General features: G+C 39.4%; 1 long non-coding RNA gene across 1 annotated transcript in view; it reads left to right on the top strand.

The window, feature by feature from the left end:
* Nucleotides 1-14,060, top strand: part of LOC124901944 (uncharacterized) — a 49,354-nt gene extending 35,294 nt beyond the window's left edge. Inside the window, exon 2 of the long non-coding RNA XR_007060910.1 lies at nucleotides 13,502-14,060. This is a non-coding gene — a long non-coding RNA (uncharacterized LOC124901944). The remainder of the gene's footprint in view (nucleotides 1-13,501) is intronic.
* The last annotated feature ends 4,535 nt before the right edge of the window (nucleotides 14,061-18,595 follow it).

Genomic DNA, 18,595 nt, shown 5'->3' on the forward strand with positions numbered 1-18,595 from the left:
AGACCCCAAAGAGCTGCCTCCCCACTCCACCATGTAAGGACACAGCAAAAAGTCAGCCCCCTATGAACCAGGAAACAGGCCCTCACCAGACCTGGCATCTCCTGGTGCCTTGATCTTGGACTTCCAGCCTCCAGGAGTGTGAGAAATAAGTTTATGTTACAGCAGCGGAAACTGACTAACACAAGATTGAATTACTTTAGATTTAGATGACTGAGATTGTATTCTCCTTTCCATTGTGTTATCTTTTAGTTTGTGAAAAACTAGGATTGTTTTCATTATGTATTAAAGCAAAGTTGTCAAAAGTACTTACATATTTTACTTAAATAGTACCTTGTGCAAGGAGAAGTGAATACTTTTAGATGTTTCTAACTTAGTAAAAAAAAAAGACCTGTTCATAAATAATAGCCTACTTAATTGTAATAAAATCTATGAGGTCTTAGTAGTTCACTATGATGTGACAGTTGACTAAAATCAATCTCCTATGAGAAAAATTGTCTAGAACTTTAAGGAAACAAACAGTTTTCTACAATCAATATGCTTAAAATATAGTTTCAAAATCTTAAGGTTACAAATCCTTGGAATTACTAAGGTGAACCTTCCATTTGTATAGAAAAGTGTCTTTTGTTGTTGTTAAGAAACCGACAGAAGGAAAGAGATACACAAACATAGAGTGACTAGAGATGTAATTTTCCTCATATTTTTCTTGGAAGGATCATAGCTCACTGCAGCCTCAAATTCCTGGCAGCCTCAAATGGTCAGTCCTGGATTATAGGCTCCGGCTGCTGGCCCAGCTCTTGTCTTTCTTTCTAAACACAAAGTAATGGATAAGCTGCTATTTCGTATTGTTAAAACGAATTTGTCAAGGTTTTCTTAGTGAAAAACTTAGGATTCTTAGTTTCAACTATGATCTAAATCAAGTTTGAGTCAAAGAATCTGGGGCCCATAGTCTTACAGATTCTTAACCATTGCCATGTATTTATTTAAAATAACTTTTTTTTTCTGCCATTTCTGTGACTTCCGTGATTTCTGCCATATATATGTATACTTTTCTCTTTCATATCTTTCATTTTTTATACTGTTTGCCTGAAATTACTTAACATTTTCTTTAACTGGGCTGACCCCAACATCTAGCAAGGGAGTGGAGCTTGGTGGTGTGAGAGATTAGCAGCCTAGCAGCCTTTCTAATTTGGCCTCTGGCTGAGGTAGGATTCAAGAGCTTGGTTTTGTTTTCCTGAGTTTATTTTTTCTTTCTACTTTCTGTTTATGACAAGTAGTACTGTCATGCCACTTATGGTGGTAGTAAGAATGTAAGTTTTCCTTTTACAACGAGTCACTGAAAAGAAAAAAAATGATACTAATATTTACTGTACATATAAAAACAGTAAAAATGCGAGGTTATCATTCGAGTTTAGGAAACAGCCCTAATTCAGCCTTTATCAATTCTCCTAGACTGTTGTAAGAGCTTCCAAGGTGTTCTCCCTGCCTTTGTTTGCCTGCACACTGTACAGATATTTCCTCACACAAAAACATGAATCTGCTGAAGTTACTTCCTTGTCCCTTGATCACTGAGTGCCTGCAGAATGCCTTTTGCCACTGGCTGTAAAAAAATGGAAAGTCTTTGGTGTGGTATGAATAGAAGGGTGCTCAAAATCTGAGCTCTTGCCATCACTTTCTCCTATGAACTCTGTGCTTAGAGTAACTCTGAGGTAACATACGTATACTTCCCTAAAATGGATTTGTATAAATACATAATAATCTCGTATTGCTAGACAACCTAATTTGGTTTGCCTGCTATCTTTTAACCTTTCCCATTTAACAAACATTCATTCATAAATCCTTTAGTTTTCCCAAACTTCATTTTTACCCAGTCTATAAATGGAATAAACTACGTAACATCAAGAACATCTTGTTGGGCGTTGCTGCTGCGAAAGTGTATGTGCTATTAGCAGCATTTGAATACCAATGATATGCTGGATCCTATTCATAATGAGATACCCTTATAGCATTTTTTAATCCAGTCTTTTGATGGATATTACAGGCTAGTAACTGTGCCAGTGCTCAGATTACAATGGTGAACATTTCTGACATGGCTCCTGATCTCTTGGAGCACACACCCTGGGGGTGATACAGGTAAATAGGCGACTACAATCCAGGTGTGTTAGGGAAAGCCCAGAGTAATTTAAAGGAGTTTTTGACTGATACTTGGGAATCAAAAGAAGTGCATCTCAGCTGAGACCTGAATGATGAGTTAGCAATTAGCCAGGTGAAGACAGAGAAGAGGGTCTTAGCAGAGGGAATAGCATATGTACAAGCCTGGAGATGAGAGCACATAGCATATCAGTACCTGTGAAGCATCATAAACTATGCTTAGGTCAAGCCAAGCCACCTGAAACTCTTGAACATGGCATGCTTCTGTTAACAGTGACGCCTTCGTTTCTGTGAATGTGGCACATGGAAAAAGGATGTGTCACAATCCATGAAGCTAAACGTCAAAGAGAAAAGACTTTCATTGTCATCAACACTGGGCTATGTTCCTTTCCTAGGGCAAGGACTTGGTAGACACTTCTTTCCAGCAGAGACTGCTCGACAGGGATTTGGGAGGTACCAGTATTTTGAGACATGAACAACAGTTGACCTTGCGAGGTTTGAAATAAACATTTGATGGGAAGGTAAAAGCAGATGAAGATGTCATTTCAGAGCCTCCTCTTGTGTACTCTTTTGACAGGAATTAGGCTGTTATTCACCTTTGGGGTGAAGCGAAGTCTCTTCTGGAAATCCATTGGCATGGGTTTTGTAGTTACACCTGTAGTGTGTGGAAGTTTACAGGACGTACTCGAGGGCCCAGTGTGAAGCCTCTCTCTGTCACTCAGCAAGTGTGTGATTTGGGGCTGGTTACTTCATCACTCTGTGCCTCATTTCCCTACCCGGAAGATTGGTGCTAACATTAGTACCAACCTCAACATGCTTTTGTGAGATTAAAATTAAATAACTACAGCACTTAGCACAGTGCAAGGCATGTGGTGGGCACCATGTAAGTATCTGCTATGCTGTTATTTGCTGTCAGAATGCAAAGGCACAGGTTCACTGTTTGGGCTAGAGGCCACTATGCATCTAAACCTTCACTTACTTACCCTCTTCCTTCTTCCTTCCTGAAGTGGTTTGAAGCAAACCCAAGACATACCATTTCATCCACAAGTATTTCAGTATGATTGAAATCTAATTTAACAGTTGCATCATACTTTACCAAGTGGACCTTTTAAACGTGTATTTAAACATTCCTTTGTAGCCTGCCAGATTTTTAGGTGGCAGATTTTAGACTTTTTACTATTGAGCATAAATTGTTTTCTGTATACATAGTATATGTTTCTGTATATATATTTATATAACATATATATATTTCTATATGTTTAGAATTTTTTCCCTAAATTAATAAGACCAAAGGGTATGAACTTTTTAAAGATATTTACCTGATACATATTCCTGATTTTTAACATTTAGGATAAACATTTAGTGTTAATGAATACTCTATTCCAACAAGCAACATGAGACCAGGGATTTAGTCTATTGTGTTCAATGCTTTATCTCCAATAGTTCCACCAATGTCTAATACATAATAATGCTAAATAAATGTAAATGAATGAATGGTACTCCTTTTATATTGTTCCTGCTAATATTCATTCATTTGCTGGACAAATATTTGTTGAGGACACTCTCCATTCCAGACTTCATGGCAGGTATTGGATACACAGGGGGAAATGGTATTGCTGCCATTCCTACCTTCATGGAGCCAGTCGTCTCCTTTAGGGTTCTCGGCCGAGCTCCTGAGAGGGAGGTGCAGAGCTGGTGCTGGCCGGCAGATTCTTGGCCTGCAATGAGATCAGAATGGAAATCAGAGTGAGCATTCAGAAACACGTGCAGCGACGACATAACAGAGTAGTTTTACATTTTATGCATCTCATAATAACAAAAATTTATTTGTATTTTGTATGTTTAAAACAATCACTTTCCTAGTAATTTATTTTTATTGTATTCTTACAAAAGTATCTGTCCAGGAGAAAAATTAGCCCTTCACTAAAGATATAATGAAAAGCAATATTCTGCTTGATTTGGGTGCATGAGGAAAATACTAGAACTTTTTTGCATGTATTCATGTATTAGAAAGGCAAATGAACTTGAAGAGTGTTCAGTTTGGGTTGACTCTGTGTCAAAATGAGGCCTGTGTGGCCACTTTTCAAGAACAGTTGCCAGGCCTTCCCAGAGAACAGTGTGAATCCACTATACCTGGGATCAAGAGCATCACCTTCTCTCTGTTTGCTTTCCACATATTGTAATAGTTTATTACAATAGTTTGGCTGAGCCTAGTTAAATGTATTTGCAGATTACATTATCTGATACTAATTAAACCAACAGTACAAAATGAACAGGAGACTAAACAGATTCATGTGAGGAAATCATGAAGATAATGGCAACAATAAAAACACAAGCTAAAAATAAGAAATGGTAGAGTTCTCACTCTAACACCTAAAACAAGCTTGTGGCCGGGTGCAGTGGCTCGCACCTGTAATCCCAGCACTTTGGAAGGCCGAGGCAGGCGGATCACTTGAGGCCAGGAGTTCGAGACCATCCTGGCCAACATAGCGAAACCCCGTCTCTATTAAATTTTAATTAAAATTAAAAATACAAAAAATTAGCTGAGCATGGTGGTGCGTGCCTGTAATCCCAGCTGCTCCAGAGGCTAAGGCAGGAGAATTGCCTGAACCCAGGAGGCAGAGGTTGCAGTGAGCTGAGATCTCGCCACTGCACTCCAGGTCTGGGCGACAGAGTGACTCTGTCTCCAAACAACAACAACAACAACAACAACAACAACAACAAACCAAGCTCATTATCAGTCACATATAAGGCAGGAAAAAAAATCAGACCTAACAATAAATCACACAAAAATTGAAATTATCAGTAAGAAAAATTTGAAAAATACATTTATACCAGTAATAATAAGCCTCACCCTAGTGTTTTGATAGATATGTGAATACTAGCAAAAAGCAACCATAGATAGCCAAATACCTGCAAAGCAGGCATCTGGAACAAAAAAGACAGATCTCTACATTTTTGTAGACATGTTAATTAAGATAGAAGGTGCCTGGTAACCACCCAGTGCTGTGTATTGGTTGCTAGGAAAAAAGTTAAATCTCAGCACAAAAGCCTCTTTTTATGTCTATTTTTTTCAGTTTTTGTACTCATAGCAAAAGGCAAAAAGCTACATCATATTGGAGAACTACCAAAGACCCTCAGGAACACAACTGTGGTTGAGGAAGGTGGATCGTGCTTGTTGCAGCAAGAGAAAACAAACACCATGGAAAACCGTGGATGTCTCAGGAAGAGAGTGTTGAAAAGAAACTATTATAGGATTTGGGTTTGGAGTAGGTGATTTTGAAAGAGGGTTTCAGGGAATGGGGCTTTGGTAAGAATCAATACTGTCAGGAGGCAGGGGCAATTTTACAGTTGGATGGCTGAATCTTTTCTTACAAGATGAGAAACAAGGCTGAAGCTGTGATTTATAAAGAAGCAGCAGTTACCTATACTAGCCAGGAGAGGGAGATGTTTGGTCATTTTGTGGTTTGAAAAATGTTTTCTCAAGAATTTTTCATTTTATTGTGGTAAGAACACTTAACATGAGATCTATTTTTTAATGAATTTTAAGTGTACAATACATTATTGTTGACTCTAGGTACAGTGTTATACAGCAGATCTCTACAGCATATTCACCTTGCTTAACTGAAACTTTATGTCTGTTGATTAATAATTCCGCATTTCCCCATTACCAAGCCCTAGTCACCACCATTTCATTCTTTAATTTTATGAATTTGACTATTTTAGATACCTCATATAAATGCAATCATGCAGTACTTGGCTTTAAATATCCGGCTTATTTCACTTACCATCACATTCTCAAGGTCTTTCATGGTGTCATATTGCAGAATTTTCTTCTTTTTAAAGGCTGAATAGTATTTCATTACACACACGTGTGTTTATGTATGTACTTTTTTTTTCCTTTTTGTTTTTAGAGATGCGGTCTCGCTATTTTGCCCAGGCTGGTCTTGGACTCCTGGGCTTAAGCAGTCCTCCTGCCTCAGCCTCCTGAATAGCTGGAACTATAGGCATGCACCACTGTGCCCGATATGCCACATTTTCTTTATCCATTCATCCACTGATGATTAAACAACACTTAGATTGTTTCCACTTCTTGGCTGTTGTGAATAATGCTGCAAATGAGTATGGGAGGGCAGACATCTCTGCAAGATCCTGATTTCAATTCATTTGAATACCTAGGAGTGGGATGGTTGGATCATATGGTAGTTCGCATTTTAATTTTTTGAAGAACCTCCGTACTGTTTTCCACAGTGGCTGCACCATTTTGCATTCCTACCCACGGTGTGCAGTTTCCACATGCTTGCTAACAGGTGTCCTTTGTTTTTTGATAATAGCAGTCCTGGCAGGTGTCAATGAGATGACACTTAATTGTGGTTTGGATTTGCATTTCCCTAATACTTAGAGATGATGAGAATTTCTTTTCCTCCTCTGCTGTCTTTATTTGTGTTTTGTTTTTCTTATACTCTTTGTGTTGATGTCTGCCCGTTAGACAAAGCAGCCACCTCTGCTGGTCTTCATGGACTGGGCTCATACAGAAGATGACCCCCATCAATCAGACTGGGCAGAGATTCTGGGGGCCTCTACCAAATCTTTACCTTTCCAGGAAGAGGCAAGCAGCTATGAATTTTGTTCAGCTACTCTGTGGGGAGTGGGATGGGGAGCTATGGTCGTTGCCAGCCCGGGCTGCTGTTTCCACTCCCCTCCAGGATGGTAAGCTGTGGTAGACCTATCTGAGTCACTTCAAGTATAGCAGGACAGTGGTCGATATTCTGGGGAGCCCTCTTGGGAAACTTGGGGTGCTGGATATGGGAAACAACCCCTTCCCCACTTGGGAGAAACCAGGAGCTAAGAGGTCTCTTTCTGATTATATGGCACTGCACTAGGGACAGGGACCCCAGTGAGTGGGTGTCTCAAATTTCCCTACCAGCTTTGGTGAGTCAGGTTTCATGGATTGCAGGAGCTTGGAGCTTGTCACTTACTTTCTGAATTTCTTTTTCTTTTCTTTTCTTTTCTTTTTTTTTTTTTTTTTTTTTGAGATGGAGTCTCGCTCTGTCACCCAGGCTGGAGTGCAGTGGTGTGATCTCGGGTCACTGAAAGCTCCACCTCCCAGGTTCACGCCATTCTCCTGCCTCAGCCTCCTGAGTAGCTGGGACTATAGCTGCTCACCACAACACCTGGTTAATTTTTTTTGTATTTTTGGTAGACACAGGGTTTCACTGTGTTAGCCAGGATGGTCTTGATCTCCTGACCTCGTGATCCACCCGCTTCTGCCTCCCAAAGTGAGTGCCTGGGATTACAGGCGTGAGCCACCACACCCGACCTCTGAATTTCTTACAAAGGGAAATTGTCTTGATCAATCATGGTTGTCTTGATCAATCATGGTTGTCTTAATCAGTCAAGACCACAGAATGACCTTGTCTGATTTTTGTGTTCTGTGAAACAGTTTGTGTTCAACACTATAGAACACCCAGGCTTAGCTGTGAAAGCCAGTCTAGCACCAGGATGTCAGCGGCATGTTGATCTTTTCAAGAACTTTGGCATCTATTCTGAGGAACCAGGAAGCCACGTCAGTATTTGAACAGAAGAATACCATTTTCGCCTTGTGTTTAAGCAGGACCACCTGAGATGCTAGGTGGAGAATTTATTTTACAATATGGTACTTTTATATATTTAGGAAGACTTAAAGTTATGTACTAATCTTTCATAAAGTGGCTTCAAATACTCCTTTCTGGTGATCAGATTTTGTCAAGGCGTCTTGCATTATATCTTACTGAAAATGGCAGAATACGACCTGAAAAATAACAACCTTGATTTTTTTTTTTTGAGGCAGTGTCTTGCTTTGTTATCCAGGCCGGAGTGCAGTGGCACACTCCACTATAATACCTCATAATTAAACCATTAATTAGTTTATTTAATAAACTAATATAAAATTAGTTGTTATTTATCTTTTATCAAAAATTCAACCAAAGTTTTGAATATTAAAAAAAATCTGTAAAAATTTTACTTGGGTCTCTCTGACATCTTCACTGCACTTAATTACATTAGTTTAAACAGTAAAAAAAGAAGGAAAATACTAGGCACATTATATTATACTGTAGAAGTAAAGGAGAACTTTGTATTTTGCTTAGTCATCCTTTTATTTTCATAAAAGTTGAAGCTTATCGGTCAGCACATGCAGTGATACACACTCAAGCAAACACATAGAAAAACATCTCAGAGGTTGTGTCAAAGCGTAATAAAGCTTGTCCTCCTTTCTGGAATTAAATGAGCATTTAGAGAAATGTGGTTTGTGCCAGGCTGCCTGATCACAGAACGTCTCTGAGCCTGTCATGCCAAGCTTGAACAAACCAATGTGAAGATCCTCTTCAGATAACTTCTTTCTTTAAAATTTCATATCATTCTGCACCGACAAATATTCCTTTTTACTATCAATCATTTAAATATCTAATTATTAAATATTTAAAATGTTCAAAAAACACAGTGAAAAATGTAACAAGAACCTACCACCTGGATTTCACAGATGTCAGCATACTTCCATGAGAAAAAAATAGCCTTAGATATTTTCGTAGACATTAACAGACTTAATGTTGTGATTTTGTTGACAGGCAGTGGGAAGGGAATGATTCTATTTGATGTCAAATGGATGCGATATATCCATCTAATTTAAACACTGTTGATGCTATTTAAATATTTCTATGATATTTTCACCACATCTTTGTGATTTTAGGTTGTCTATTTTCCCTCTGCTATTGACACATTCCTTGTGAAATGCTACTTAGGATTTAGGATGTCTAGACTATGAACAATTTTATAAAGTGTGTTTTACAAAGTGAAAAAAATGTCTTTGAAAATAGTTCTGAAAGCGAGGATGCCTAAATAAATATTTTTCAAATCATGTTTTTTATATTTGCCACCCTTTCCTTTTATTCTTGGCATCTACTTTCTTTTGTTCTTAATCTTCTTTTTCTACCCTCAAACAGTCCTGGAAGATCTCAGTTGAAAACAATTCCATCTTCCCTTCGTATTCTCTTTCTTAGTTATGTCTACCCTAAGAGTTTGGGTAAGATATTAGGTTGTAATATATTTTCTCTGAATTAGATATGGTTCTAAAAGAAAAAACATATGTACCTAGATACCTACATATCATTCTGTAATGTATATATTTTCTAAAAACTATGAGATATAATTACATCTGTAAGATTATATCTCATAGTTTTTAGAAAATTAGAATTTAAAAAGCCAAAGTTGTAAAACTGGAATTAAAAAAACCAGAGTTGTAAAATTAGGTGCATTATTTTTGATAACCACTGTTTTGATTATAATTGTGTTACTAATACATAGAATTTAGTACTTGATTATTTTTCACTGTCAATATTGAGAATGTATTCATGTATATTCCAAATTAAAAGAAAACTAATTCTAATATATATATATATATCTATGTATTTCCCTCTCTCTCTCTCTCTGTCTCTCTCTCTCTCTCTCCTCTCTTTCTCTGGCCCCTAGGCTTATAATCTATATCTTTTACATTGAGAAAATGAAAGTTTCAGTTTATAATTCCTGCCAAATGACCACATTCAGCCACAGTCAGTATTTTGAGAGTACAAGAATAAATCGAGCAAGCAACATTGGAATATGCACTTGCTCCTTGCTTAGGCAATATTCCTGACTGGCCAAGAATGGATGGCTTTAGCACCCACTCACCTTCCTCAGGCCCCTTTTGATCAAACGTACGCCACCTAATCAGCATCTCCAATCTGTTCTTGACTTTCCATCTCAATAAGACTTTGTACTATTCTCACTCTGCTCCTCTTCACTCTGGCATCTCCCCTTTCTACCCATTTTCCACATAGCCAGTGATACTTTATATCTTATACAGCACTAATCTGACCATGTTCTGCTTAAAAACCAAGCTAGCATGCAAGGAATACAAAACTAATTTGGATGTCTTTCATGACCTTCATGAACCTGCTCTGGCCTGTCTTTTCAGCATCATCCTCAGGTACTCATTACAGCATATAGCCTACCACGTAGCAATTAGTCCTTCCATGAAAACTGTGTGTTTTATGTCTCTGTGCTCTTTTTGGCAAATTGTTTTTTCTAGATGCAATGTCTTTTCTTCCCCTCTTTGCTTGGCACAACATGGCATAATCTTCAAGGCCTAAGTCAATTGTCACTGTCTCTCCAGGAAGAAAGAATCATGCACTCTTCTGCGGCCCCATTGCTGTGTGTCCACTCTTAGAGCATTGTTCAAAGTATATGCAATTGGTACAAATCTAACTCCTTTGAGAAAGCCAAGTCTTTTATTAAAATAACACAAGCTTTGGAGCACAGAATTTAAATTCCAGCACTGCCACCTGCAGTTCTGAAGACTTTAGATACAACCTTTTCTATGCAAAGAGAATAATGTCTATCTTGGGGTGCTATTATGTATGAAGCAATCAATAGATGTATTGTTTGTTATCCGTACATGCTGTCCAGATTATGATATCTTTATGGTTCTATTCTTCCTTCTATTTTTGTATCCAGTACCTAGCATAGAGTCTAGCATGAGGTAAACTCTCAAATATTTATTGAATGAATGATAGCATATGTAAGCAGAGATTAACTATAGGCATTGGCAGAGAATGCAACTGAAATATATATGATATACTCTATTAATATCAACTCTAGCTGGACTTGAGGTATAGTTAACATGGAGAGAAAATTGTATCTTGTCATCTTATAATAAAGTATTTTCAATTTGACTTCTGATTAGGTAGGCAAACCAGAAACCCAAATTCTACTTCCTTGATTTACTTGTAGAAAATTATTTTCAGAATGAAACAACTGGCTTCTATCCTTTAAACTCAGAATTTATAACTCACAGGTCCTCAATCATTTGAAATTTGGTTAAATACAAAATCAAACCTAATTCAGGCCATTAATTACAGAGCTCCTAATGTTCTATTCAGCTTTGATAGCTATATTCTCTAGAAGAAAACAGCAACAATTGTAAAACAGTTATTTCTGTTGGCTAGGAAATTTCAAGTTCTTTGGGATTTTACCCAACTCTACATTTATTCACATATTTTTCCCTCTTGTTAGGAGTAAGGTGCATGGGGAAATTGCACAAATTAGCTTCAGCTACTTTGCATTCAGCATCACTAAGAGTAAGCCACGGCTGTGAAGCAGGAAGAGTGGACAGATGTCATTTTGCCAGCCCCGTGTTTGTTCCTCCTTCTGGTCATAGCACCCTCATTTTGCATTAGGGATTTAACCCCCTGCACTGCCTCAGTCTTGCCAGCACTGTAAACCAAGGCGTACTTTCCTGTCCCTTGCCACCAATGGTGACCTATCTAGGCCAACCAGATGCTCTCTACCCATCTTGGACACCACACTCAGATGTCAAGGTGTCTACTCATTCCTGCTTCCCAGGTCTCCAGAGCTGCCCTTCGTTCCAGTCTGCCCAAAGGCCAGTTCTGCAGCTTCCCTTCAATTCTGGGAACCACTTGAGGTCCTTACAATAAATCCCTTTTCACTTACAAAGGGTGGGTTCCTGTTACTTATAACCAGGGAATCCTAACTAATACATACAGGAAAATTTATTTTACAGGGAAAGATATTTTAATCCCAGCATTATGTTATGCAATGTCAAGTAGTTATACCCAATCAATCTACTGTAGAATGATCAATGTCTGACAACAGATGGCTCCAGTGACTGGGAGCGGGCTGCCAGCCCTCCAGAGCTCGGCTTTCTCATCTGTAAAATGATGATCATAAAACTACTAGATACTCTTTTTTTACTAGGCTTGCTGTGACAGGAAATTTTTTAAAAAAGGAATGAAAGTGTTTTTCGAATCACAAAGCACTCTGTAACGTAAGGTATTTAGCTTACATTTATTCTTTTAACAAACATTTCCTATAACACGAACTGTTCCTACAAAAAAATTACCATGAGGATATTTTTGTGTTCATAGTGAGTATTTCAAAGAAGTAGTCAACTCTATCCAAAAGTGTGAAATCCACATATCTGAACGCTGACAATGCCCAGCAGGTGTGATGGCTCCTTGTTTTGCTTTGGTTTGCAACAATCTCCAGATGGCCATTGCTTTGTTTTGTGTTTAATGAGTATGCATAGTAAAGAGTGTATACTTAGATATTTTGAGAGAGTTTTGAGGGAGAATATCATGGTATCTAATCAACAATTTCAGTTGGCCTTTTTCTATGTCAAAATGTAACATCAGGCTGGCTGCAGGGGCTTACGCCTGCAATCCCAGCACTTTGGGAGGCCGAGGCAGGCAGATCACTTGAGGTCAAGAATTCAAGACCAGCTTGGCCAACATGTCAAAACCCTGTCTCTATCAAAAATATAAAAAATTAGCTGATGTGGTAGTGCATGCCTGTAATCCCAGCTACTCGGGAGGCTGAGGCAGGAGAATCTCTTGAACCCAGGAGGCAGAGATTGCAGTGAGCTGAGATCATGCCACTGCACTGCAGCCTGTGAGACAGGGTGAAACTCCATCTCAAAAAAAAAAAAAAAAAAGTAACATCAGTCCTCATCGTCCTTCTTGAGGGGCAGCGATGTATAGTGGAAAAACACACTTAATGTCAACAGGAGCATTGGGGTCCAAGGCCAGGCTCCTCATTTATTACCTTTGTGTCTTTAGGAGATTGGTTTTCTATTCTACACCCTTTCCTTATCTGCCAAATAAATCTAATCTGTCCTAAGTTGTAAGAATTCAATTAGATCATGAATTCTTTCTGAAGTGCAAAACACTAACAAAATGTAAGTCAATGTTTATCCATCAGGAGTTATTATTTGCCTCCAATCAAATAGTTACTTATACTACTCACATTTCAACCATCTTATGATTACTTTTGGCCAAACAGGCATTCTTGCCTTTTTTTTTTCCACTAGGGCATTCTATGATTGATATTAAGAAAGTACAATGTGTGAATCAATGTCATTTAGACGAGGCTGCTCTGTGTGAACAGGGACAAGCAGCACTGCTATCCTCTTGGAGCTTGTTAGAGGCCTGCATTCCTGGTTCCACTCCAGACAGGCTGAGGCAGAGCCCTACAGCGGAGCCCAGGAATCCATGTTTGAGTATTTGAGTAGGTGTCTGAGCAGGTGCTTGAGCAAGTGGTTGAATAGATGTTTGAGCAGGTGTTTGAGCAGGGCCTTCAGGGAATTCTGATGTCCACTTAGGTAGAGAAGCACTGGCTCAGGCCTTTCCATTCCAGCTACTCATTTCTACACCAAATGTAATTTTTCATTTTAGTCATAATAACTATAACATTAATGATAGTACAGTCATAGTGATAGTATAATAATAATTATAATAACCATTTTGTCCCCTCCTTCCTTTAGGTTAATATTCATCTGTAGCCTGAGTGACCCCAAAAAGATGACACTCTTCTGTCCACCAAAACCTTCCAGAGGCTTCCTGTGCTCACTTGAAGTAAAATCCAAAGTGCTGACTGTGGTTACCAGCTCCCCGGGCTGGCCTGCTGCGGGACGGCTTCTCCACCAGCCTCCCGTTCAAGGCCTCCATTTCTGCCACTGCGGCGTCTGCATGGTTCCTGAGCATCCCAAGCACATTCCCACCTCAAGGCCTTGGTGCTTGCAGTTCATCTGCTTCTCTCCTGGTCTATGCCTGGCTGGTTCTTATTTCTTTTGAATTCGGACGAGGTGCACCTCATGAGAGAGGCCTTCCTTGACCTCCCTCCTCCATTCCTCTCACAGGCCCCATCTGACATGCTTGCCCTCCCCCTCCCCTACCCCCATCCCCTTGTGAGCCCCATGAGAGAAGGGCCTCTGTCCTTAGGTAGATGTGATTCCCCAGAACCCAGGACAGGACAGCCACACAGGAGGAAACTGACACACTTTTCTTAAATGATGGAATAAAGTACTGACTGTGTTTCAAGCACTGATGTGGTTTGGCTCTGTGTCTCCACCCAAATCTCATCTCCAGTTGTAATCCCCATGTATCCAGGAAGGACCTGGTGGGAAGTGACTGGATCACAGGGGCAGTCTCCCCCATGCTGTTCTCATGATAGTGAGGGATTTCTCACAATATCTAATGATTTAAAAATGTCAGTTTCCCCTGTTCTCTCTCTCTCCTGCTGCCATATAAGATATGTCTTGCTTCCCCTTTGCCTTTCACCATGATTGTAAGTTTCCTGAGGCCTTCCCAGCTATGTGGAACTCTGAGTCAACTAAGCCTCTTTTCTTTTTAAATTACCCAGTCTCAGGTATTCTTTATAAGTTAAAATGGACTAATGCAGATAATTGGTACCAAGGTAGTAGGGCATTGCTATAAGATACCTGAGAATGTGGAAGCCACTTTGGAACTGGGTAACTGACAGAGGCTGGAACAGTTTGGAGGGCTCAGAAGAAGACAGGAAGATGTGGGAAAGTTTGGAACTTCCTAGAACTTATTGAATGGTTTTGACCAAAATGCTCATAGTGACATGGACAATGAAGTCCATACTGAGGTGGTCTCAGATGGAGATGAGAAACTTATTGGAAACTGGAGCAAAGGCACTTTTGCTATGCTTTAGCAAAAAGACTGGTGGCATTTTGCCCTTCCCTAGAGATCTATGGAACTTTGAACTTGAGAGAGATGATTTAGGGTATGTGGTGGAAGAAATTTCTAAGCGGCAAAGCATTCAAGAAGTGACCTGGATTTTCCTGAAAGTGTACAGTTAAATGTGTTCACAAAGAGATGGTTTGAAATTGGAACTTATGTTTAAAAGGGAAACAAAGTATAAAAGTTTGGAAAATTTGCAGCTTGACCATATGGTAGAAAAGAAAAACTCATTTTCTGGGGAGAAATTCAAGCCAGCTGCTGAAATTTGCATAAGTAATGAGGAGCCGAATCTTATTAGCCAAGACAATGGAGAAAATTCTCTAGGGCATGTCAGAGATCTTAGCAGCAGCCCCTCTCATCACAGGCCCAGAGACCTAGGAAGAAAAAATGGTTTCGTGGGCCAGGCCTAAGGCCCAACTTCTCTGTGCATCCTTGGTACTTGGTGCCCTGTGTTCTAGCCACTCAGCTCCAGTACTGGCTAAAAGAGGCCAAGGTACAGCTTGGGCCATTGCTTCAGAGGGTGCAAGCCCCAAGCCATGGCAGCTTCCACATGGTGTTGGGCCTGTGGGTGCACAGAAGACAAAAATTGAGGTTTGGGAGCCTCCACCTAGATTTCAGAGAATGTATGGAAAAGCCTGGATGTCCAGGCAGAAGTCTGCTGCAGAGGCAGACCTCTCATGGAGAACCTCGGCTAGAGCAGTGTAGAAGGGAAATGTGGGGTTGGAGCCCCCACACATAATCCCCACTGGGGCACTGCCTAGTGGAGCTGTGAGAAGAGGGACACTGTCCTCCAGACCCCACAATGGTAGATCCACTGACAGCTTGCACCATGTCCTTGGAGAAGCTGCAGGCACTCAACACCAGCACGTGACAGCAGCTGTGGGGGCAGAGCTGCCCAAGGCCTTGGGAGCTCATCTCTGGATGTGATATATGAAGTCAAAGGAGATTTTGGAGTCTTAAGATTTAATGACTGCTTGGTCATGTTTCAGACTTGCATGGGACCTGTGGCCCCTTTGTTTTGAGCATTTCTCCCCATTTGGAATGGGAGCATTTACCCAATGTTTGTACCTCCATTGTATCTTGTGTGTAACTAACTTGCTTTTGATTGTGTAGGCTCATAGGTGGAAGGGACTAGCCTTGTCTGAGATGAGATTTGGACTTTGTGCATTTGAGTTAATGCTGGAATGAATTCAGACTTTGGGGATTATTAGGAAGACATGATTGTATTTGGCAATGTGAGAAGGACATGAGATTTGGGAGGGGTCAGGGTGGAATGATATGATTTGGATCTGTGTCTCCACACAAATCTCATGTCAAATTGCAATCCCCAGTGTTGAAGGTGGGACCTGGTAGGAGGTGACTGGATCATGGGGGTGGATTTCTTATGAATGGTTTAGTACCATCCACTTGGTACTGTTCTCGAAATAGTGAGTATGTTCTCCTGAGATCTGGTTGTTTAAAGTGTGTGGCATCTCCCCTTCCCCATTCTCTTGCTTACTACTGCTCTTGCCATGTAAGATGTTTCCCCTTTACCTTCTACCATCATTGGAAGTTTACTGAGGCTTTCCAAGGAGCAGAAGCCTCTATGCTTCCTGTATGGCCTGAAGAACTGTGAACCAGTTAAACTTCCTTTCTTATAAATTACTCAGTCTCAGGTATTTCTTTATAGCAATTCAAGAATGAACAAATACAGATATAAATGCAAACGTTTTATTTACTAAGACTGCCAGCTTTTGGCTCTCCTTTCTGACAGCTCAACAGAGTCCTTATATGTCCAAAATATTGAGTACTACACTTTGACTAAGCACAGCTTCCTATCTGGATGTTTTTCCTCCACTATCTTGAAGAATAGTTCAATGCAAAATATTCTATGAAACGAAAAAGAAAAGTAATAATTTAACCATGAGAAAAGTTTTTTGTTTTCTTTTTTCTTTCTTTCTTTCTTTTTTTTTGTGATAGGGTCTTATTCTGTCACACAGGCTGGAGTGCAGTGGCACAATTTTGGTATAGCCTCAAACTCTTCCAGGCTCAAGCAATCCTCCCACTTGAGCCTCCTGAGTAGTTGGGACTACAAGCATGTGTCACTATGCCTGGCTAATTTTTGCATTTATTTGTAGTGATGGGGTCTCCCCATGTTGCCCAGGCTGGTCTTTAACTCCTTGTTTCAAGTGATCCATCTGCCTCAGCCCCCCGAAGGGCTAGGATTATAGGCATGAGCCATTGTGCCTGGCCTAGTGTCTCATTCTTAATTATGAAATAATAGACAACAATCAGTAGCCATTTGAGGAAAGCCAATGAAGAAAGAAACTAAGAAAGAAAGAAAAAAAGAAAAAGAAAAAGGAGGTAAGGAGAGGAAGGAAGAAAAGGAGAAAGAATGAATGAACCAAAATAGGAAAAAAAAAAAGGAACTCAATGGGGAAAAATGATAAATATGTTAGAATAAAACAATAAAAATTACATTTAAGACCCTGGAAAAATAAGAGATGACATTTTATTCAAGAAAACATATCAGAAAGGTAAGAAAAGGGCAGTAAAAGGGAAGAACAAAGAACTCTGAAAAATATATAAGAACTGAAAGAAAAACTCAGTTGAAGATTCAGAAGATAGAGTGGAGAAAGCCTTCCAGAAGCAATTAAAAAGGTATAAAGAGAAAAACAGGAGAGGAAAGATAATAATTTTTTTAAAAGTCTGTGAGTTTTAAAGTCTCTTTAAGAATTTCATTAAAAGAAGAGAAAAAAATGGAAAAGAAGAAAATATTTCTTAAAATGCAGGGTTTTTTTGTTTGTTTTTTTAAATTTGAAGGACATGGAGAGACACGGTAGCTCACAGCTGTAATCCCAGCCCTTTGGGAGGCTGAGATGGGAGGATCCCTTGAGTCCAGGAGTTTGTCTGGGCAACAAAGTGAGACTCCCATCTCTATATGAAAAAATAAATTTAAAAAATTTTTTTAAGAATAACAAAAAATCTGAAGGACACTAGTTTCTGGGAAATTTAAGAAGAATTAATGATAGGGACATAGAAAATCAAGCTAATATAAATGATTTAATGAATAAAACTGTACAGAAAAGAAAATGTGTTAAAGTCTCCCATTATTATTGCGTGGGAGTCTAAGTCTCTTTGTAGGTCTTTAATGACTTGCTTTATGAATCTGAGTGCTCCTGTATGTATGGATGCATATATATTTAGGATAGTTAGCTCTTCTTGTTGAATTGATCTCTTTACCATTATGTAATGGCCTTCTTTGTCTCTTTTGATCTTTGTTGGTTTAAAGTCTGTTTTATCAGAGACTAGGATTGCAACCCCTGCCTTTTTTTGTTTTCTATTTCCTTGGTAGATCTTTCTCCATCCCTTCATTTTGAGCTTATGTGTGTCTTTGCACGTGAGATGGGTCTCCTGAATACAGCACACTGATGGGTCTTGACTCTTTATCCAATTTTCCAGTCTGTGCCTTTTAACTGGAGCATTTAGCCCATTTACATTTAAGGTTAATATTGTTATGTGTGAATTTGATCCTGTCATTATGATGTTAGCTGGTTATTTTGCTCGTTAGTTGATGCAGTCTGTTCCTAGCCTCTATGGTCTTTACAATTTGGCATGTTTTTGCAGTGGCTGGTACTGGTTGTTCCTTTCCATGTTTAGTGCTTCCTTCAGGAGCTCTTTTAGTGCAGGCCTGGTGGTGACAAAATCTCTCAGCATTTGCTTGTCTGTAAAGGATTTTATTTCTCCTTCACTTGTGAAGCTCAGTTTGGCTGGATATGAAATTCTGGGTTGAAAATTCTTTTCTTTAAGAATGTTGAATATTGGCCTCCACTCTCTTCTGGCTTGCAGAGTTTCTGCAGAGAGATCACCTGTTAGTCTGATGGGCTTCCCTT

Source organism: Homo sapiens, chromosome 8 (assembly GCF_000001405.40).
Source record: "Homo sapiens chromosome 8, GRCh38.p14 Primary Assembly".
Lineage (NCBI taxonomy): Eukaryota > Metazoa > Chordata > Mammalia > Primates > Hominidae > Homo > Homo sapiens.